At 41.7% G+C, this 23,541-nt stretch overlaps 1 protein-coding gene across 2 annotated transcripts in view; it reads left to right on the top strand.

Moving 5' to 3' along the window:
- The window catches only part of SBNO1 (strawberry notch homolog 1), a 75,739-nt gene that overhangs the window by 30,004 nt on the left and 22,194 nt on the right, over positions 1–23,541 (top strand). For both annotated transcript variants that reach the window (NM_018183.5, NM_001167856.3), the window contains exons 7-24: positions 631–791; positions 3,469–3,602; positions 4,335–4,425; positions 5,949–6,110; positions 6,817–6,952; positions 7,032–7,137; positions 7,265–7,418; positions 8,510–8,692; positions 9,245–9,342; positions 11,013–11,164; positions 13,112–13,309; positions 13,978–14,145; positions 14,237–14,412; positions 14,813–14,944; positions 17,488–17,623; positions 19,184–19,296; positions 19,400–19,471; positions 21,125–21,224. In NM_018183.5, coding sequence (NP_060653.3) covers positions 631–791; positions 3,469–3,602; positions 4,335–4,425; positions 5,949–6,110; positions 6,817–6,952; positions 7,032–7,137; positions 7,265–7,418; positions 8,510–8,692; positions 9,245–9,342; positions 11,013–11,164; positions 13,112–13,309; positions 13,978–14,145; positions 14,237–14,412; positions 14,813–14,944; positions 17,488–17,623; positions 19,184–19,296; positions 19,400–19,471; positions 21,125–21,224 — 2,472 coding nt within the window. The remainder of the gene's footprint in view (positions 1–630; positions 792–3,468; positions 3,603–4,334; positions 4,426–5,948; positions 6,111–6,816; positions 6,953–7,031; positions 7,138–7,264; positions 7,419–8,509; positions 8,693–9,244; positions 9,343–11,012; positions 11,165–13,111; positions 13,310–13,977; positions 14,146–14,236; positions 14,413–14,812; positions 14,945–17,487; positions 17,624–19,183; positions 19,297–19,399; positions 19,472–21,124; positions 21,225–23,541) is intronic.

Raw genomic sequence — 23,541 nt, 5'->3', positions numbered from 1 at the left:
CTTAATCTGGCATTATGTTCTGTTACTACTAGAGAACCTGCTGTTATGAACCAAGTGGTGTTTTTTTAGATCTTTTTTTTATCAGCAAATCTCTATTTTATTTTATTTATTATTTAATTTTATTTATTTATTTTTTGAGACAGAGTCTCACTGCATCACTCAGGCTGGAGTGCAGTGGCACAGTCTCGGCTCCCTGCAACCTCCGTCTCCTGGGTTCAAGCAATTCTCGTTCCTCAGCCTCCTGAGTAGCTGGAATTACAGGCGCGTGCCAACATGCCCAGCTAATTTTTGTATTTTTAGTAGAGACAGGGATTTGCTGTGTTGGCCAGGCTGGTCTTGAACGCCTGACCTCAAGTGATCCCTCCACCTTGGCCCCCCAAAGTGCTGGGATTACAGGCGTGAGCCACCCACCTGGCCCAAATCTCTGTTTTAACCATATGTAGTTGATAAATCATTTTAGTCAAATATAGATAGTACTTTGTCATCAGTTACTTTTTATGGAAGCTCAGAGTGAATACTTTTTAATTATTTTTCTATGTTATAAGAAAAACATTGAAATATCTTATAATGAAACTGGAAATGTTATTACTTAGAATAATTAAAATAAAATGTTTTTACATTTTTGTTTAGTAAAAATTGGCCTACGTCATCCAGATGCTGTAGTGGAAACCAGCTCTTTATCCAGTGTTACTCCTCCTGATGTTTGGTACAAAACATCCATTTCTGAGGAAACCATTGATAATGGCTGGTTATCAGCATTGCAGCTTGAGGCAATTACATATGCAGCCCAGGTAAGCAATAATATTTCATAATACAATAATTATTTTATCCTATTCTATATAACAGAGTTGTTTCAATCTAAAGGTAACTTTTCCTTGTATGAAAACCTTGTAAATGTAATATTTATGAAAGTTTAATGTGTTGGAAAATTAAATTTTAGAAGTGTAGCAGAGATACAGATAGTGCATTTCCAGTGGAAATGGCAAATGTTATAACTTGCTTGGAATTTACTGGGAATATTTATTAAAATTAAAAATATGTATATCGACCAGGCACAGTGGCTCATGTCTGCAATCCCAACAGTTTGGGAGGCTGAGGTGGGTGGATTGCTTGAGCCCAGGAGTTCGCGACCAGTCTGGGTAACATGGTGAAACATCATGTCTACGAAAAATACAAAAAATTAGCTGAGTGTAGTGGCACGCACCTGTAGTCCCAGTTTCTCGGGAAGCTGAGGTAGGGGAATCACCTCAGCCCAGGAAGTCGAGGCTGCAATAAGCTGTGATCTTGTCACTCCACCCTGGGTGATGGGAACGAGACCCTGTCTCAAAAAAAAAAAATTATATATATGTATATGTGTGTGTATATATACCCATTCCTAGGAGTGTGTTCCCTGGAACTGTTAGATAAGAACATATGCAGAATGATATTTGTTGTACCTTTTGTCCCTCCAGCTGGAAAAGATTTGAGCATCCACATTATTGGGGGGTAATTGCATAAACTGTGATATTATTGGACAGTGGGGTGTTGTGTGGGCTTTTAAAATGATGTGAGGTAGAGTTAAGCAGTTGTCTTGAAATGATTTCAGTCATATTCCATATCTGTAAAATAAGTAATGACCAAAATAGCCATTTATCCTCCATATTTTGTGTGATATAAAACTTTTAATTTGGCTGGGCATGGTGGCTCACGCCTGTAATCCCAGCACTTTTTTTTTTTTTTTGAGATGGAGTCTCACTGTGTCGTCCAGGCTGGAGTGCAATGGTGCGATCTTGGCTCACTGGAACCTCCGCCTCCCAGGTTCATGCCATTCTTCTGCCTCAGCCTCCCGAGTAGCTGGGACTACAGGCACCCACCGCCACGCCCGGCTAATTTTTTCTGTTTTTAGTGGAGATGGGGTTTTACCGTGTTAGCCAGGATGGTCTCGATCTCCTGACCTCATGATCCACCCATCTCGGCCTCCCAAAGTGCTGGGATTACAGGTGTGAGCCACCGTGCCCGGCCCAATCCCAGTACTTTGGGAGGCTGAGGCAGGCGGGTCACCCTGAGGTCAGGAGTTAGAGACCAGCCTGGCCAACGTGGTGAAACCCTGTCTCTACCAAAAATACAAAAATTAGCCAGGCATGGTGGTACACACCTCTAGTGCCATCTACTTGGGAAGCTAAGTCAGGAGAATCACTTGAACCCAGGAGGTGGAGGTTGCAGTGAGCTGAGATTGTGCCACTGCACTCCAGCCTGGACGACAGAGTGAGACTCTGTCTGAAAAAAACTAAAAAACCACTGGCCGGGCACTTTGGGAGGCTGAAGCTGGCGGATCACCTGAGGTTGGGAGTTCGAGACCAGCCTGGCCAACATGGTGAAACCCTGTCTCTACTAAAAATACAAAAACTAGCTGTGCGTGGTGGCACATGCCTGTAATCCTAGCTACTCGGGAGGCTGAGGCAGGAGAATCACTTGAACTCAGGAGGCGGAGGTTGCGGTGAGCCGAGATTGTGCCATTGCACTCTAGCCTGGGCAACAAGAGCAAAACTGTCTCAAAAACAAAACAAAACAAAAACAAACAAAAACCTGTTTGATTCTGCAGGTGTTGATAAGGGGTATGGCGGGCTCCTCACTAATTTGTTAACTTTCATTACCTGGTGCATGGAAGAGTAGCAGGAGATAATATACAGTAAATATGTAGAAAGTATTCACATTGAGCTGGGCGCGGTGACTCGTGCCTGTAATCTCAGCACTTTGGGAGGCCAAGGCGGGTGCATCATGAGGTCAGGAGATCGAGACCATCCTGGTCAACGTGGTGAAACCCTGTCTACTAAAAATACAAAAAATTAGCTGGGCGTGGTGGTGCATACCTGTAATCCCAGCTACTCGGGAGGCTGAAGCAGGAGAATAGCTTGAACAGGAATTCAGAGGTTGCAGTGAGCCGAGATTGTGCCACTGCACTTCAGCCTGGCAACAGAGCGAGACCCCGTTTCAAAAAAAGAAAAAAAAGAAAGTATCCACATTAAAGCCAAAACTATAAAATTTGGCTGGGTGCAGTGCCTCACACCTGTAATCCCAGCACTTTGGGAGGCTGAGGCGGGCGGATCACGAGGTCAGGAGATCGAGATCATCCTGGCTAACATGGTGAAACCCGTTTCTACTAAAAATAGAAAAAATTAGCCAGGCGTGGTGGCGGGCGCCTGTAGTCCCACCTACTCAGGAGGCTGAGGAAGGAGAATGGTGTGAACCCGGGAGGCAGAGATTGCAGTGAGCCAAGATCGCGCCACTGCACTCCAACCTGGGCGACAGAGCGAGACTCCGTCTCAAAAAAAAATCCAAAACTCTATGAAATTTATGTAAAAATAAAGTCACAAAATACATATACAAAACAAAAAACATAACATATTCCTACTCCTAAAACAGTGTATGAAAGATTGATCACCAAAATATCTGAAGGATTATATTAATTACCAGCCTTTTGTTTTTCAGCAACATGAAACTTTCCTACCTAATGGAGATCGTGCTGGCTTCTTAATAGGTGATGGTGCCGGTGTAGGAAAAGGAAGGACGATAGCAGGAATCATCTATGAAAATTATTTGTTGAGTAGAAAACGAGCATTGTGGTAAGTGTTTAAAAACTGGCTGTGGGCCAGGCGCAGCGGATCACGAGGTTAGGAGATCGAGACCATCCTGGCTAACACAGTGAAACTCCGTCTCTACTAAAAGTACAAAAAATCAGCCGGTCGTCATGGTGGGTTCCTGTAGTCCCAGCTACTCAGGAGGCTGAGGCAGGAGAATGGCGTGAACCCTGGAGGCATAGCTTGCAGTGAGCCGACATTGTTCCTCTGCACTCCAGCCTGGGTGACAGAGTGCGACTCCGTCTCAATGGAAGGTTTTGTTAGTAATTACTTTAGCATGTGGGGATGGGATCCGCCTTCCCCATCTAGACAGGATCTTTGTCACCCAGGCTGGAGTGCTGTGGCATATTCATGGCTCACTGCAGCCTCTACCTCAGGGGCTCAAGCAGTTCTGCCTCAGCCTCTTGAGTAGCTGGGACTACAGGCATGCACTACCATGCTTGGCTAATTTTTTGTAGATACGGGCTCTTCTTGTGTTGCTCAGGCTGGTCTCGAACTCCTGGGCTCAAGCAGTCCTCCTGCCTTAGGCTCCCAAAGTGCTAGGATTATGGGTGTGAGCCACTGCACTCAGTGGGATGGTGTTTTAATGAGTAAGTGTATTTTCTTTTTCTTTTTTTTTTTTTTTTTAAGTGTCAAGACCTGGCTTTATTAATTTTATTCCTGAATTCTAGAATGATATAATTTGTATTTAATTTGTGCTTTTTAATATTTTGGCAGGTTTAGTGTTTCAAATGACTTAAAGTATGATGCTGAAAGAGATTTAAGGGATATTGGAGCAAAAAACATTTTGGTTCATTCGTTAAATAAGGTATGAAATCTTTTTATTCAGTTGGTCATTCAATAAATATTGACTCATCTGTGAGATGACAATAATAATAGCTATGTATATAAGGGGACACTTTTTGGAAAACTTTGATGTTACTCCACAGAAAGCATAGTGAGTGCTAGCCACTATTGTTGGTTTGTGGATTCCTATATGCTAAACACTGACAGGCAGTAGCCACTCATCACATGTGGCTATTGAACAGTGTAAGTGACCAGTCCAAATTGAGATGTGCTCTCAAGTGTACAGTGCACACCAGTTGATTCTCTCAATTTTCAGTGTTATTTTTATCTTTCTTTTATAGTTTATATGCCATAAGGGTGCAGTTTAGACAGGTGGCATACCTTGCACTATAGGTCACCAAATCATATGCGATGTAGATAGTTATGGCTTGGGCAGACTGGTTTCAGTATTTGTACAGCTAATGGACTTGAGTTACTCATACCTCTGCTCACATGAAAACAATTCTGTAAGCTGAAAGACAATGTGTGCCAGTGTGTTTTAGAATGTTAAGGTTCAGTTAGCAAATCTTTATTGACTTACTATGCATGCACCAATTGTTGGTGCTATAAGGTTAAAATAGACTGATAGGGTTCCTGGAAGGGCCTCCCTAGTAGCCCTTTGAAAATAAGTAACTGCACCTCTACTTCCCATGTGAGTCCTAAGTTGAATTCAGTGTTGCCCTAAACAGTGGCTTGTTAGGGTGGGTTTTACTGGGTGGATTTGTAGCTATAAAGTACTGTGTCTTGAATGACTGTATACAATTCAGAACTAAAAGGATGTAAGTGGCATCTAGAATTTTTTTTTTAAATTTCAGAGTAGTATTAGAAAGGCACATTAACAATTACTCATAATTCTTATGTATCAGAAATTAATCACAGTGTTTTGCATATAGTAAGTGCACAATAAATGTTTGTAAATTGTGACTTTTTATTCTTATAGGGAAGTTTGTCTGGTTTTTAATGTTTTTTTTTGTGATGATAAAAGTTTTTAAGACTTTGAAAACTGGATTTAAAAAAAAAAAAAAAAGATCTCAGCTCTGTTGCCCAGGCTGAAGTGCAGTGGCACAATCTCGGCTCACTGCAACCTCCATCTCCCAGGCTCAAGCAGTTCTCCCACCTCAGCCCCTGTGGTAGCTGGGACTGCAGACACGCACCACGATGCCTGGCTAATTTTTGTATTTTTTGTAGGGATGGGGTTTCACTATGTTGGCCAGGCTGGTCTTGGAACTCCTGAGCTCAAGCGATCCACCCACCTTGACCTCCCAAAGTGTTGGGATTACAGGTGTGAGCCACTGTGTCCTACCAAAAACTGGATTTTTGTACTATAAAGTTGTGTGTTTGTGTTGTGTACATTTATACAAATAAATTTGCGTCTCTGTACTTTTATGTTTTCTGAAGCCTGTCATGGGCCTAACAAGAGTTCCTGCTTGTGAATGTTTAGTTGGGATGAATGTTGCAGAGAGAAAGGTATACTAATTAACTAAATTCTTTTCTTTTCTTTTTTAGTTTAAATACGGAAAAATTTCTTCCAAACATAATGGGAGTGTGAAAAAGGGTGTTATTTTTGCTACTTACTCTTCACTTATTGGTGAAAGCCAGTCTGGCGGCAAGTATAAAACTAGGTTAAAACAACTTCTGCATTGGTGCGGTGATGACTTCGATGGAGTGGTATCCTTTATGGCAAATATTTTTCTATTTTTTAACGACAAGAAAATTATAAAAGGGTAGACCTTTGGGAAACAGGAATCTTGAGATTAAACGAGTTGCTGGAGTGAAAACTTTAATGATTACCTAGAGTCCAAAGGGATTGGAAAGTTGATTCGGTTTTTTACCTGTCAGATAGGAGACCAATGTTTAATCTCCTGGTTTAGAAAAATGTTAATAGATATGAGGAATACTGAATACTGTATTCCCCTTTTGAGGATTAACATTGCATATTTACATAGCAGAATACCCGAGAAGACTAAGTGAAAGAAAACTGTTAGAACTTAGTGGTCCCAAACTTGTTCACAGTATATCTTTTAACTGTCCTGCATGAGGAACATCACTTTTTGAAATGCTGATTAAGTTGGTTACCAATCATGCTTCTACTTTTACAAGTTACCAGATAACAACTTCTTGCTGCAGTGGGTTCTTTTCTCTGTTTTAATTTAGAGGCAAATTGCTGGTTTAAATTCCAAATTCAGTGAATGTCTTTGAGGCTAGAGAGGGAGGAGGATGTAACTGGGGAAAGGCCCATAGGACTTCCTTTGTATTTGCAGTCATGAAATAGGCAATCAGAAGGCCTCAGGGAAATAAAAGTTAACTCTTCTTGAAAGACTGGAGATTCTTACTTAATACTAATGTGATACATTCCTTAACTCATTCCATTTAGATAGTGTTTGATGAGTGTCATAAAGCCAAAAACTTATGTCCTGTTGGTTCTTCAAAGCCAACCAAGACAGGCTTAGCAGTTTTAGAGCTTCAGAACAAATTGCCAAAAGCCAGAGTTGTTTATGCTAGTGCAACTGGTGAGTATTTATTTATTTAAAAATATATATTGTAGGTTATTTTTTCAACTATAATATATTTCATTTGTGGGATTTTCAGGTGCTTCTGAACCACGCAACATGGCCTATATGAACCGTCTTGGCATATGGGGTGAGGGTACTCCATTTAGAGAATTCAGTGATTTTATTCAAGCAGTAGAACGGAGGTAATGCAGTTTACGGTATATACTCTTCTCAGTAGCAATCTAAGAAGTGTGTTATTCCTAAAGCCCATTCTCTGTATGTTAAAATTCTACTGTATTGGTAATTACTGTATGTTTTAATTTTATTCAGAGGAGTTGGTGCCATGGAAATAGTTGCTATGGATATGAAGCTTAGAGGAATGTACATTGCTCGACAACTGAGCTTTACTGGAGTGACCTTCAAAATTGAGGAAGTTCTTCTTTCTCAGAGCTACGTTAAAATGTATAACAAAGCTGTCAAGCTGGTGAGGAATTTTTCTTAATTCCTAGTGTTTATTTAATGTATCTGATAATGTTTCTGTTAGTTTTGGCGATTGCGATGCCTCCTGCCCATGGGAATGTATTTCTACTATAAAACAACAGATGAAGCCAGGCACGGTGTCTCATGCCTCAGCACTTTGGGAGGCTGAGGCGAGCAGGTCACCTGAGGTCAAGAGTTCAAGACCAGCCTGGCCTACATGTTGAAACCTCATCTCTACTAAAAATACGAAAAAAAATTAGCTGGGCATGGTGGTGTGCGCCTGTAGTGCCAGCTACTTGGGGAGGCTGAGGCAGGAGAATCGCTTGAACCCAGGAGGCGGAGGTTGCTGTGAGCCAAGATGGTGCCAGTGCACTCCAGCTTGGGTAACAGAGGGATACTCCATCGCAAAACAAAAACAAAAACAAAAAACAAAAACAAACAGATGAGTTACCAGATGATAGGCTGTTTAACCAATGTGTTTTTTTTTGTTTTTGTTTTTAATTGAAGCAGGGTCTTACTCTGTCACCCAGACTGGAGTACAGTGGTGTGATCTTGGCTTACTGCAACCTCTACCTCCCAGGTTCAAGGAGTCCTCCAGACTCTGCCTCCTGAGTATCAGGGACTGCAGGCGCATGTCAATGTGCCTGGCTGATTTTTGTATTTTTTGGTAGAGATGAGGTTTTACAGTGTTGCCCAGCCTGATCTGGAACTCCTGGGCTCAAGCAATCCACCTGCCTCAGCCTCCCAAAGTGCTGGGATTACAGGCATCAGCCACTGCGCCTGGCCTAACCAATGTTCTTATATTTCAGATTGTCCATGTTTTCATTTTGTTAAGGTAATTCATAAGTTATAGCCATTTATTTCAGTTGCATAGTTCTTAAAATCACATTATTTTCTAAAATGACTGCATTAGGTAATAAGAAACTTGAGACAACTGTGTGAGTATCCTGAGAAATAGATTCCCAAGTTACTAAAGATGATTTATTAAATTAATATTAAATGGTCTTGCACTTAACATTGTTTTGATTTAATTGGTATTTTTAAATAACTAGACTCAAAGATGAAGTGTCTGAAATGTTGATTATGTATCTTCAGTGGGTCATCGCCAGAGAGCGGTTTCAGCAAGCTGCAGATCTGATTGATGCTGAGCAACGAATGAAGAAGTCCATGTGGGGTCAGTTCTGGTCTGCTCACCAGAGGTTCTTCAAATACTTATGCATAGCATCCAAAGTTAAAAGGGTTGTGCAACTAGCTCGAGAGGAAATCAAGAATGGAAAAGTAAGTAGAAGAACTCATTAAGAGATTGTTTGGGGGTTATGTTGTTTAGTCTTTGTGGGTGCTGAGGTTTTCTGCTTGTAAAATCTGGTTTTCCTAAAGGATAGTAAAACTTCTAAAAAATACATTTCTTAAAATTATAAAAGCAATGCCTGCTTAGAGAATTTAGAGAGTTCAGAAAAGTATAACAAAGTAAACATCACTATAATTGGTCATCCATAGCTGGTAGCACTGGTAACATATGGATGTGTATTGCGTTAAGGTTTTTTCTTTTCGGTGAATATTTATCTACTTAAAGCATAAGATACTATAAACTGTACAAGGGCAGGGGCTTCACTCATGCTTACTACTGTCTGTAATCCTATCTCCTGCCTAAATTTTTGACAAATAACCTGTCTCAAATATGTAGAAGAAATAAGTAAAACAAATTTGTGTTTTATAATAATGAGGACATTCTTGTTTGAAATCTTTGTTTAGCTAAATGTTTAAAATATGTCTTGGTAAGAAGCCACAAACATTATTATTCATAATTAACATGTTTTCTTTTTTCTCCAGTGTGTTGTAATTGGTCTGCAGTCTACAGGAGAAGCTAGAACATTAGAAGCTTTGGAAGAGGGCGGGGGAGAATTGAATGATTTTGTTTCAACTGCCAAGTAATGTTTTTGTTCTTTTAATGTTTTTGTTTCTTTTTGAGTTCTTCCTTACCTTAGTTCCAATGTGGGCATTTCCTGGAGACAAAACTTTTGTTTCACCTGCATCATCTTTAAGTTTTCTTGATCTGAGTTTTCTGCTTTTCTGTAACAGTGTATCTATTGGAAAACAATAACAGAAATCTCATAATCCTAAAATGTTAAGCATTTTGCTAATATTACACAGAGTATGTGAACTAACAGAAGGGCTAGACTTTGTTTATCTTGTACATCTTGGAAATCTGTGACAGCTTGGCTTAGATTCAGTTTTAGTGTACTGTATTTGAAATTACCGTTATCCACAGGAACAGTAACTATAGTTTGTCCTAATATAACGAAGTCTACTTTATAAGTTGGCTGAGCATGGTGGCTCACAGCTGTAATCTCAGCACTTTGGGAGGCCAACATGGGCACATCACTTGAGGTCAGTAGTTTGAGACCAGCCTGGCCAAAATGGTGAAACCCCATCTCAACTAAAAATAAAAAAAATTAGTTGGGCATGGTGGCACACGTCCTGTAGTCCCACCTACCTGGGAGGCTGAGGCAGGAGAATCCATTGAACCCGTGAGGTGGAGGTTGCAGTGAGCCAAGATCGCACCACTCCACTCCACTCCCCTCTGGGCGGCAGAGTGAGACCCTGTCTCAAAAAAAAATAAAATAAAATAAAGTCTACTTTAAAAGTTGAAAATAAGCATGAGATCTTCAGAAATAGATTTTAAAATGTTTTAGGCATTGTTTTTAGTTTGCCTAACCTCCACATTCAAACTCTGGTAGTAAACTGAGCAAAATAAACTTGCTGCTCTACTATTTTGTGCCTCGGGATGCATTCAGATGCTCCTTTCAAAAGCAATACATGGGGCTCACGCCTGTAATCCAGGCACTTTGGGAGGCTGAGTCTGGTGGATCACGAGAGCTCAGGAGTTTGAGACCAGCCTGGCCAACACGGTGAAACCTCGTCTCTACTAAAAATACAAAAACTAGCCAGGCGTGGTGGCGGGCACCTGTAATCCCAGCTACTGGAGAGGCTGAGGCAGGAGAATTGCTTGAACCCAGGCGGCGGAGGTTGCAGTGAGCTGAGATGGCACCATTGCACTCCAGCCTGGGTGACAGAGAGACTCGGTCTCAAAAAAAAAAAAAAAAAGAAAAAAGCAAGACATACACCTGCTAATCTATATTTTTCTGTACATAATTGCCTAGAACTACCGTGTCCAGAATGGCAGCCGCTTGTCACATGTGGCTATTGAGCAGTTGAAATGACTGGTCCATATTGAGATGTTATTATATGTGTACTGAGCCAGGTTTCAAAGACTCCTTAAGAGAAAATAACATAAAACATATGTGTTGACATGGTATATTGAGTTAAAATGTATTATTAAAATTAGTTCCACCAGTTTTATTTATTTTTTACTTTTTTAATTTAAGCTACCAGAAAATACAATAATTGTGTATGTGGTTTGGCTTGCATTCTTATTATTTAGTTGGACAGCTTTGGGCTAGAAAATTAAAATTTATTTGAGCTCGTTTATCAGTATTTTGTAAAACTGAACAAAGTATATTTCAATATATTTAATAATACTTTACATATAATTATTTTGTCAACTGAAGCAGTAATTGTCACTGTTTCTCTCCTACAGAGGTGTGTTGCAGTCACTCATTGAAAAACATTTTCCTGCTCCAGACAGGAAAAAACTTTATAGTTTACTAGGAATCGATTTGACAGCTCCAAGTAACAACAGTTCGCCAAGAGATAGTCCTTGTAAAGAAAATAAAATAAAGAAGCGGAAAGGTGAGCACTTTAAAAAAGAAAAAATAGGCCAGGTGCGGTGGCTCACACCTGTAATCCCAGCACTTTGGGAGGCTGAGGTGGGCAGATCACGAGGTCAGGAGATCGAGACCATCCTGGCTAACACGGTGAAACCCCATCTCTACTGAAAATACAAAAAATTAGCCGGGCATCGTGGTGGGCACCTATAGTCCCAGCTACTCGGGAGGCTGAGGCAGGAGAATGTCGTGAACCCAGGAGGCAGAGCTTGCAGTGAGCCGAGATAGCGCTGCTGCACTCCAGCCTGGATGACAGAGCGAGACTCTGTCTCAAAAAAGAAAAAGAAAAAAGAAAATAGTTGACGTTGAAAATACTGTTGAAATTAAAACATAAGCATTTTAAAGTGGCTATATTTTGGGAATGAACTGCCTTCCATGAATTCACAAATGGTTCCAAATTTTCACTGTCACTTGTACAATTTTGAATGCACAAGTTATCCCCGTTTTAAATTAGGAATTGAGCAATTCACTGGTGGTTGGCAGTGTGTTAAGCACTTGGCTATATACATTCTACCATATAACCTGGCAGAGGTCCATACGAAATTAGGTCTTATTTTTCCAATTTTATAGACAGAGATCATTGAAGCACAGAAAGATTTAAAGATTAAAGAGTTTTCCTAGTTTCACAGAGATAGTTAATGATGCATGGGAACTAAAACCTGTGTCTTTGTATTGTCAGACCTGTTCTTTAATATATAGACAGCTGGGTGTTTCAGTAGTTTTCTTTAAAAGAGCCTTTTCTTTTTTTTTCTTTTTTTTTTTTGAGACAGGGTCTCCGTCTCCGTCACCCAGGCTGGAGTGCAGTGGTACCATCTTGGCTCACTGCAACCTCTGCCTCCTGGGTTCAAGGAGCTGGGATTACAGGCATGCACCACCACGCCCTGCTAATTTTTGTATTTTTAGTAGAGATGGGGTTTCACCATGTTGGCCAGGCTGGTCTCAAACTCCTGAGCTTAAGCAATGCACCCACCTAGGCCTCCCAAAGTGCTGGGATTACAGGTGTGAGCCATCTCGCCCAGCCCTGTTTTGGTTTTAGAAGTTGACTTCTCGCCGGGCACAGTGGCTCACGCCTGTAATCCCAGCTTTTTGGGAGTTGAAACAGGCGGATCACCTGAGGTCAGGAGTTCGAGACCAGCCTGGCCAACATGGCGAAACCCCTTCTCTACTAAAAATTAAAAACTTAGCCAGGACTGGCGGCAGGGGCGCCTTATAATCCCAGCTATAAGGGAGGCTGAGGCATTAGAATCACTTGAACTCGGGAGGCAGAGGTTGCAGTGAGCCAAGATTATGCCACTGCACTTTAGCCTGGGAGACAGAGTAGACACTGTCTGGGGAAAAAAAAAAAATATCTGGTCATGGTTGCATGTGCCTGTAGTCCCAGGTACTTGGGAGGCTGAGGTGGGAGGATCACATGAGCCAGGGAAGTCGAGGCTGCAGTGAGCTATGATTGTGCCACTGCACTCCAGCCTGGGCAACAGTGAGGCCCTGTCTCCAAAAATAAAAAGGTTTTATAAATTGATTTTCTATTGATTTTCTAAGTATTCCATGTCTATAAACCTGTAATTATTAGGCCTCTTCTCAAATCTGATACACAGTCAAATTGTGACTATGCCAGAGGTTCTGCTTTTACTCTGTTGTCCTGAATATGTTTTGAAACTTGTGCACTTGAAGGCAGTCTTGACTTAGTACTTTTGTATCCAATTTCTTCTTCAGAATAAATGTTTATAACCTTATTTTTTATGGGAGTCCAAAAGGTTAGTGCTGGTTTGTGAATTCTGTTTGTTTTTTGACTTAACCTAAATACTTTTCCTCTGCACTTTTCATTTGAATTAATTCATGAACTAAATGTGATGTACTGGATCTTAAGAAACATTGAATTTGGGCTGACTCTCTTGTTTGTGGCGGAGGGTAGGTGAAGAAATAACTCGAGAAGCCAAAAAAGCACGAAAAGTAGGTGGCCTTACTGGTAGCAGTTCTGACGACAGTGGAAGTGAATCTGATGCCTCTGATAATGAAGAAAGTGACTATGAGAGCTCTAAAAACATGAGTTCTGGAGATGATGACGATTTCAACCCATTTTTAGATGAGTCTAATGAGGATGATGAAAATGGTAAGTTCAGTATATTAAATATACACGAAAGCATATAATATTTCAGTATATTTGAAAATGGGATATGAAACCTTTTCTTCTGTACAGTACAAATGATCACACAGATTATAATCTTTGCTTGGTGGAAAGCTCCAGGCTTATCTACCTTCTGGAAGTTTGAGCCTCATATATGTGAGAAGATAACCTCAATTTTGTGCAGTTATTTTTAACTTGAAAACATGGATTTGTACCCCATGGTGTATGGATGAACCAATGTAGGTGGTGATAAGTTATCAGTTAACAATATAAAAAATTTCATCCAGGCGCGGTGGCTCATGCCTGTAATCCCAGCAATTTGGGAGGCTAAGGTGGGTGGATCACCTGAGGCTGGGAGTTCGAGATCAGCCTGACCAACGTGGAAAAACCCCATCTCTACTAAAAATACAAAATTAGCCAGGTGTGGTGGCACATACCTGTAATCCCAGCTACTCAGGAGGCTGAGGCAGGAGAATCGCTTGAACCCAGGAGGTGGAGATTGCAGTAAGCTGAGATTGCGCCATTGCACTCCAGCCTGGGCTACAACAGCGAAACATTGTCTCAAAAAAATAAAATTTCAAAGGTTGTTTCCTTTGAAGATTCTGTACTTGTTTTAACAAATGATTTGACATGTATCTTTCCTTAACACTCAGATCCCTGGTTAATTAGAAAAGACCACAAGAAAAACAAAGAGAAAAAAAAGAAGAAAAGTATAGATCCAGATTCTATTCAAAGTGCCTTATTAGCATCAGGTCTTGGATCAAAACGACCTAGTTTTTCATCTACACCAGTTATCTCACCTGCTCCTAACAGTACACCAGGTATCCATACAGAAACTTCCTTTTTGAAATACTGTTTTAAACAAAAATATTTAAACTTTGTACTAACTTTTAGCAAATGTTCTTTATCTAGCTAACAGTAACACCAACAGTAACAGTAGCCTTATAACAAGTCAGGATGCTGTGGAAAGGGCTCAGCAGATGAAGAAAGACCTGCTTGATAAGCTAGAAAAATTAGCTGAAGACCTCCCCCCTAATACCCTGGATGAACTTATCGATGAACTTGGTGGCCCTGAGAACGTTGCTGAGGTAAATAGGCCTGTATCTCTTGGTGACATTTTTGCCATTTGAACCCCTGTAAAATGAGTTGTATTTTGACTGTCTTCACATAATAATCTAAATTTCTTAGATCATAGAATTCTTGTTCTACTTTAGTTGCCATCCTACATCCAATGAACTGCTGCCTGCAGTATCTGAGTGTCTGTCCCAAGCCACTGGTCCTAGTTACTGCACTTATCACGCATCTTTTGTGATCGTGGCCATGTGTCAAGGTTTTTCCAGGGACTCTGTTGCAGTGTTCTGTATCCTTCAGTGTGTGGTGCAGCACAGCCTGTGCTCTTATCTCCCAAGTGTCTTCAAGGAAAGAGGCACTGAGTCCATCCACCGCAGTCAGATACCTTCATTGTAATGACATTGTTTGGCTTCTCAGATGACTGGCCGCAAGGGACGGGTTGTGAGCAATGATGATGGAAGCATATCTTATGAGTCAAGATCTGAACTTGATGTGCCTGTGGAAATACTAAACATCACAGAAAAACAACGATTTATGGATGGAGATAAGGTATGTTTTACTGAGATGCTTCTCAGTGAAAAGAACAATGCCTGTATATTTAGATTAAGCTTTAGAAGAGTCTTTTTCCTTTTAATATAAGTCATGTCCATTGAGTATTGTCATTCTGTATTTTTTAGTAATTGTACATACTGAATATTGTACGTGTTTTTATTATTTTATCATTGAATATAGTAAGTATTGGCTGGGTGCAGTGGCTCAGGCCTGTAATTCCAGCACTTTGGGAGGCCAAGGTGGGCAGATCACTTGAGCTCTGGAGTTTGAGACCAGCCTGGGCAGCATGGTGAAACCCCGTCTCTACTGAAAATACAAAAATTTAGCTGGGTGTGGTAGTGCATGCCTGTAGTCCCAGCTGCTCAGAAGGCAGAGGTGGGAGGATAGCTTAACCCTGGGCTATGCAGGTTGCAGTGAGCCGAGATCGCACCACTACACTCCAGCCTGTGCAACAGAGCTATTACACAAATTTTTTTAGTAATTGCCTTTACTCACTGAATATTTTGCATGTTTTTATTATTTTATCATTGAATATAATAAGTATTGTGTGTAATGCATAGAATCAGATATGGCTCTTGAGTGCTTTGGAGGCTTTTGAAATATTTAATCATGATATAAAAATACTGTGTTTTCTCCAGGCGTGGTGGCTCACGCCTGTAATCCCAGCACTTTGGGAGGCCGAGATGGGCAGATCATGAGGTCAGGAGTTCAAGACCAGGCTGGCAAACATGGTGGTGAAACCCCATCTCTACTAAAAATACAAAAATTGGTCGGGTGTGGTGGCATGTGCCTGTAGTCCCAGCTACTCAGGAGGCTGAGGGAGGAGAATAGCTGGAACCTGGGAGGCAGGGGTTGCAGTGAGCCAAGACTGCACCATTGCATTTCCACCTGGGCAGCAGAGTGAGACTGTCTCAAAAAAAAAAAAAAAACGTTCCCTTAGTTCATCTTGGTGTTGTGACATCTAATGTCATTCCGATTTTGAGACTAAAATATTTATGTGTGTCCATATTACTAGTAATTTTGGTTTCACTGTTTATTTTATTGCTATGTCATGTTATATTAAGACGATTTACTGTAAATGGCTTACAGATTACATTCCCATATCCAACCATTGTAGAGATTTTGGGTGCCTCCAGAGACTCTTTTTTTTTTTTTTTTTGAGACAGAGTCTTACTCTGTTGCCCAGGCTGGAGTGCAGTGCAGTGGCATGATCTCAACTCACTGCTACCTTCACCTCCTGGGTCCAAGTGATTCTTGTGCCTCAGCCTCCCGAGTAGCTGGGACTACAGGCACGCGCCACCACGCCTGGCTAATTTTTGTATTTTTTGATAGAGACAGGTTTCACCATATTGACCTGGCTGGTCTTGAACTCCATGCCTCAAGTGGTGTACCCACCTCTGCCTCCCAAAATGCTGGGATTATAGGCGTGAGCTACTGTGCTGGCCCAGAGACTCTTTCTGTAGACTTTGTTTGAGAAGGACCGTCACTTTGTCCCCCAGGCTGGATCTCAGCTCACTGCCACCTCCACCTCCCGGGTTCAAGCAGTTCTCTGCCTCAGCCTCCTGAGTAGCTGGGAATATAGGCACACACCACCACACCTGGCTAATTTTTGAATTTTTAGTAGAGACAAGGTTTCGTCATGTTTGCCAGGCTGGTCTTGAACTCCTGACCTCAAATGATCCGTCTGCCTCGGCCTCTCAAAGTACTAGGATTACAAGAGTTTGAGACCAGCCTGGGCAACATAATGGGACCCTGCCCTGTACAGGGAAAATAGTCACATGATGGCACATGCCCACAGTCCCAGCTACTGAGGAGGCTGAGGTGAAAGGATCACTTGAGCTTGAGAGGTGAAAACTGTAGAGAGCTATGATTGCACCACTGCACTCCAGCTTGTGTGACAGAGTGAGACCCTGTCTCAAAAAATATATATATACAAAAAGATAATGTTACGTATTTTCAAGATTGTAGGTACAGGTATTAGTTATTTTATATAATTGCTTCATGAATCTAGGCCCATATGCATTAGGAATTACATTAGTTGGAATTAGTTTTGGTTGTTAAATAACAGAAAATACAAAGTCTGTTAAGTGTTGACTTCAATAAGATAGATTATTTCTCTCATGGACACATTTGGGTAGGTGGAGCAGGGCTTGTATGCCCTCTTGAAGTCCAGGCATCTTCCGTGTTGTTCATTAAATTATGTGGGCCTCCATTTCCAAGTTACCTTTGTATTCCAAGATACCTGTTCCAGACTCTTGTCAGTACCTCTACATTTTACCTAACAGAGAGGAGACAAGGGGATGAGAAGGGCATGTCGCCTACTTTTAAGGACATTTCCTGTGCATCATACATTTTACCTACACCTTGCTGGCTGGAGAATGTTCACACTTAGCCGTAAGGGAGACTGGGAAATAAAACTGGAAGTCTTCATTATTGAGAAAGAAGGAGAGAATAGGCAGTCTGCTGAAGGACTTCATTTAAGGCACTGGCCTGCTTGTTCTTATGCAAAAGTGACTTTATTTTTCTTATATTTGACACAGAATATTGCTATCATCTCAGAAGCTGCCAGCTCGGGTATTTCATTACAAGCAGATAGGAGAGCTAAAAATCAAAGGCGAAGAGTTCATATGACTTTAGAATTACCTTGGAGCGCTGATAGAGCAATTCAACAGTTCGGTAAGTTCCTACAAACTGGATTTCACTTAATGGATAGCTAGGAATCATTGGGGTAAATTTGCGCATACCAAAACCTAGGTTTAGGCCGGGCACAGAGGCTCACGCCTGTAATTCCAACATTTCGGGAGGCCACTGTGGGAGGATAACTTGAGTCCGGGAGTTTGAGACCAGCCTGGTCAACGCAGTGAGACCCTTTCTCCACCAAAAGAAAAGAAAAACAGCTGAGAGCAGTGGCTCGTGCCTGTAATCCCAGCACTTTGGGAGGCTGAGGTGGGTGCATCACTTGAGGTAATAGTTTGAGACCAGCCTGGTCAACATGGTGAAACCCAGCCTCTACTAAAAATACAAAAATTAACTGGGTGTGTTGGCACACACCTGTAATCCCAGCTACTTAGGGTGCTGAGACGGGAGAATTGCTTGAACCTGGGAGGCGCAGGCTGCAGTGAGCTGAGATCACGCTATTGCACTCCAGCCTGGGCAACATAGGGAGATTCCATCTCAAAAAAAAAAAAAAAAAGAAGAAGAAAAGAAAAACTTGCTGGGTGTGGTGGCGTGTGCCTGTAGTCCCAGCTACTCAGGAGGCTGAGGTAGGAGGATTACTTGAGTCCAGGAGTTCAAGGTTGCAGTGAGATATGATTTCACCACTGCACTCCAGCCTGGGTGACAGAGCGTGACCTTGTCTCAAAAAACAAAAACAGGCTGGGCGCAGCGGCTCACGCCTGTAATCCCAGCACTTTGGCAGGCTGAGGTGGGTGGATCACCTGAGGTCGGGAGTTCAAGACCAGGATGACCAACATGGAGAAACCCTGTCTGTACTAAAAATACAAAATTAGCCGGGCGTGGTGGTGCATGCCTGTAATCCTGGCTACTCAGGAGGCAGAGGTAGGAGAATCGCTTGAACCCGGGAGGCGGAGGTTGCAGTGAGCCAAGATCACACCATTGCACTCTACCTTTGGCAACAAGAGCGAAACTCTAACAACAACAAAAAAATCCTGTTTAATGTCTTATATCTTATCTCGAAATCTCAGATCTTGCATTTAAGGAGTGTTATATATATACTTTATAGTATATGATGCATTGTGGATTCATTTTTTGCTTGTTTACAAGTTGTAAAAAATATATATGTGGTGGGAATTTGTGGGGTTCCAAGAACAGGGTTCCTCAAGGAGTGTCCTTATAAAACTTAAGGATGTATTAGGTCCATATCAGAGAAGCTGCTACTTCTATATGTGTTTCCAACCTCAGTAGCTTCACCAAAGGCCCATAGCTCCTCCCTCCATCTTCATGTTCTTGTGACCAATGATTTGAAAAACAATTTTGGGAAAATCCAGAGTAATTGTGCATCAGTAACATGTGGTTAAGCAAAATTGGGGTAGCAATGCTAATACTTCTGTCATTGAGCAGTTTTATGTGTGTTATGGTAATTTTACATTATCTGTAATTTTTATTGTTTAGTGGTTTCCCAATACCAGTTTAGTGTTAAATGCTAGGAATACATCTCAGAATATTCTCTGTCCAGCGAACACAATCAATGATCTTTAAAACAAAATTTCGTTGCAGGACGTACTCATAGATCAAACCAAGTTACTGCTCCTGAGTATGTCTTTCTGATATCTGAACTGGCAGGAGAACAAAGATTTGCATCTATTGTTGCTAAAAGACTTGAGAGTTTGGTGAGTTTTGGAGTTGTGTGGCTGTGTGTAAATGATGATCTATTGTACCTGTTTTCTGGTAAAAGGTTACCTGTGCCTTGATTGAAATTTTTGTTTTTAACAGGGGGCACTTACACATGGTGATAGAAGGGCAACAGAATCTAGAGATCTGAGCAGGTTCAACTTTGATAATAAGGTACATTTCAATTTTCAGTATCTCTGAAAACTTGTGATAGTGTATGGTGTCTTTCGGGAACACAAAAGGAAAGTAGTTACTGTCTAAAACAAAACTGCCTCTCCTATGCATTTGCTTTAAAATCATGGCTTCCTATAAGACAGAATTTCACATGTATGTTAGATCGCATGTTAAGTATCAGTACAGCAATGTAGTTGTCTTTATTCCTTTTGGAAAACAAGAATAAATGAGACTGAATTAACTGTGAGTTCTCAGAAGCAAAGGAAGTTAATTTTTCTCATGTTTTTTATGTGTAGAGACATGAACTAGGCAGTATAAAATATATATAAAGGCCAGGCGCTGTGGCTCATGTCTGTAATCCCAGCACTTTGGGAGGCCAAGGCAGGTGGATCACTTGAGGTCAGGAGTTCGAGACCAGCCTGGCCAACGTGGTGCAACCACATCTGTACTAAAAAAAAAAAAAAAATACAAAAATTAGGCCGGGATCAGTTGCTCACACCTATAATCCCAGAATATAGGAGGCCAAGGCAGGTGGGTCACCTGAGGTCAGGAATTCGAGACCAGCCTGACCAACATAGTGAAATCCCATCTCTACAAAAATTAGATGGGCGTGGTGGCATGCATCTGTAGTCCCAGCTACTTGGAAGGCGGAGGTTGCAGTGAGCCGAGATCATGCCACTGCACTCCAGCCTGGGCAATAGGGCAAGACTCTGTCTCAAAAAATTATACAAAAATTAGTTGGGCGTGGCTGGGCACAGTGGCTCACGCCTGTAATCCAGCACTTTGGGAGACCGAGGTGGGTGGATCACGAGGTCATGAGATCGAGACCATCCTGGCCAACATGGTGAAACCCTGTCTCTACTAAAAATAGAAAAATTAGCTGGGCGTGGTGGTGTGCGCCTGTAGTCCTAGCTACTTGGGAGGCTGAGGCAGGAAAATCACTTCAACCTGGGATGCAGAGGTTGCAGTGAGCCGAGTTTACACCACTGCACTCCAGCCTGTCAACAGAGCAAGACTCCGTCTCAAAGAAAAAAAAAATTTAGTTGGGCATGGTGGCGGGCACCTATAATCCCAGCTACTTGGGAGGCTGAGGCAGGAGAACCGCTTGAACCCAGGAGGCGGAGGTTTCAGTGAGTAGAGATCGTGCCATTACATTCCAGCCTGGGCGATGAGCAAAACTCTGTCTCCAAAAAAAGAAAAAATAAATAAATACATATAAAGATAATTGAGAATTGCTTTTTTGAATCTTTGGTACAATAAGTTTGTGGGTTTTTTGGGGTTTTGTTGAGAGGGAGTTTTTTGCTCTTGTCGCCCAGGCTGGAGCACAATGACGCCATCTCGGCTCACTACAACCTCCGCCTCCTAGGTTCAAGCAATTCTCCTGCCTCAGCCTTCCAAGTAGCTGGGATTACAGGTGTCTGCCACCACACCCAGCTAATTTTTTGTAGTAGAGATGGGGTTTCACCATGTTGGTCAGGTTGGTCTTGAACTCCCAACCTCGGGTGATCCACCCACCTCGACCTCCCAAAGTGCTGGGATTACAGGCATGAGCCACCGCACCCAGCCAGTAGTTTTTATAGTATTTAGGTGGTCATGTGATTGAAGAGTATCCAAATGCTGAAACTGGTTAAAGGTTTTGATTTTTTTTTGCAGTATGGAAGAAATGCTTTAGAAATTGTCATGAAATCCATTGTAAACTTGGATTCTCCTATGGTATCACCACCTCCAGACTATCCTGGAGAATTTTTTAAAGGTAACTTCTACAAATATTCATAACAATGACAATGATTATTGACAAAGATGTACTCAAACCTGTTGTAATGTTTGCTGTTATATTAGTTTTTTTCTTTGGACATAAATTGTATAAAACTTTGAAATTAATGGTTACTAGGACACATAATTATCTTGTATTAAACAGATTTATTAAAGCAAATTTTATTCAAATGAAAGTGCTCTTACTGTTGATATGGTGAAAGCATGTTTGTCTAATAAGAGATTTAATAGAGGAAAGTTGTTTTAGTACATTGAGTAAAATCACTTTGCCAAATAGCCTTTTTTAAAAATTATTTATTTATTTATTTATTTTATTTTTTTTAAGACCGAGTCTTTTTTAAAAATTATTTATTTATTTATTTATTTATTTATTTATTTATTTATTTATTTATTTATTTTAAGACCGAGTCTTGCTCTGTCGCCAGGCTGGAGTGCAGTGGCATGATCTCGGCTCACTGCAACCTCTGCCAACAGGTTCAAGCCATTCTCCTGCCTCAGCCTCCTGAGTAGCTGAGATTACAGGCACATGCCACCACACCCAGCTAATTTTTGTATTTTTAGTAGACACGGCGTTGCACCATGTTGGCCAGGATGGTCTCGATCTCCTGACTTCATGATCTGCCCGCTTTAGCCTCCCAAAGTGCTGGAATTAACAGGCATGAGCTACCGTGCCCAGCCCCAAATAGCTTTTAAAATTCAATTTAATTTTAAAGTTGAAAAAGTACCTAGGTAAATAATCTGTGAGGATTGATTGGTTGGGGTGGGAGGTTTGGATGAAACAAAATTGGCCATGAATTCACAGTTGTTTAAACTGGGTGATGGATACATGTGGCTCATAGCTTAGCCTTTTTTCTTTCGTGTATTTGGAAATGTCCTTTTTTTTTTTTTCGAGACGGGGTCTCGTGCTGTCACCTGGGCTGGAGTGCAATGGTGTGATCTTGGCTCAGTGCAACCTCCGCCACCAGGTTCAAAGGGTTCTCCTCCCTGAACCTCCCGAGTAGCTGGGATTACAGGTGCCCGCCACCATACCTGGCTAATTTTTGTGTTTTCAATAGAGATGGGGTTTCGCCATGTTGACCAGGCTGGTCTTGAAATCCTGGCCGCATGTGATCCTCCCACCTCAACCTCCCATAGTGCTGGGATTACAGATGTGAGCCAAGGCACCCAGATGGAGTTAGCATTTTTCACTAGGAAGTCCTTTTGGTAGATTAGCACATACTGATATGTGTTGTTAACAGTTCATATTGACATACCAGTTAGAGGTGTTCATCATTACTCTCGGCTTTCAACAAAAGCAGTAAAGTCTTAACCCTACACCTTCACTCCTTTTGACATCAGGAGTGTCAGAAACAACTCCCTGGTCTGGGCACAGTGGCTCATGCCCGTAATCCCAGCACTTTGGGAGGCTGAGGTGTGAGGATTGCTTGAGCCTAGGAGGTGGAGGCTGTAGTGAGCTGTGATGGCACCACTGCATTCCAGACTGGTGAGAGAGACCCTGTCTCAGAAAAAAAAAAAAAAGATTCCTTGATTTACTTCTAACTTCTTAAAATTACAGGTTATGGCTAGGCGCAGTGGCTCACACCTGTAATTTCAGCACTTTGGGAGGCCAAGGCAGGTGGATCATTTAAGCTCAGGAGATCAAGACCAGCCTGGGCAACATGGAGAAACCCCCTCTCTAAAAAAATTACAAAAAAAAATTAGCCAGGCACGGTGGTGCACGCCTGTAGTTCCAGCTGCTCGGGAAGCTGAGGTGGGAGGATCCCTTGAGCCTGGGAGGCGGAGGTTGCAGTGAACCAAGATGATGCCATTGCACTCCAGCCTGGGCAACGTAGTCAGACTCTGTCGCAAAAATATATATATATATATATATATATATATAGATAGATAGATAGATAGATAGATAGATAGGTTACTTGTTTATTATAAGTAATGACAGTAATCTTGCAGCTGGGCGCAGTGGCTCACACCTGTAATCTCAGCACTTTGGGAGGCCGAGCCGGGTGGATCTCCGGAGGTTAGGAGTTTGAGACCAGCCTGGCCAACATGGCGAAACCCCGACTCTACTAAAAATATGAAACTTAGCCTGTAGTCCCAGCTACTCAGGAGACTGAGGCAGGAGAATTGCTTGAACCCGTGAGGCAGAGGTTGCAGTGAGCTGAGATCGCGCACTGCGCTCCAGCCTGGGTGACAGAGTGAGACTCCGTCTCAAAAAAAAAGAAAAGAATCTTAACATGTATAATGAAGAGAGTTAATACAGTCCCCTTAACCCTCCTTCCATTCTCACCTTCTTAGGTCAC

This window comes from Homo sapiens, chromosome 12, assembly GCF_000001405.40.
Source record: "Homo sapiens chromosome 12, GRCh38.p14 Primary Assembly".
NCBI lineage: Eukaryota > Metazoa > Chordata > Mammalia > Primates > Hominidae > Homo > Homo sapiens.
Note: the sequence above shows the minus strand (reverse complement) of the source record. Positions and strands in the feature narration are given on the sequence as shown.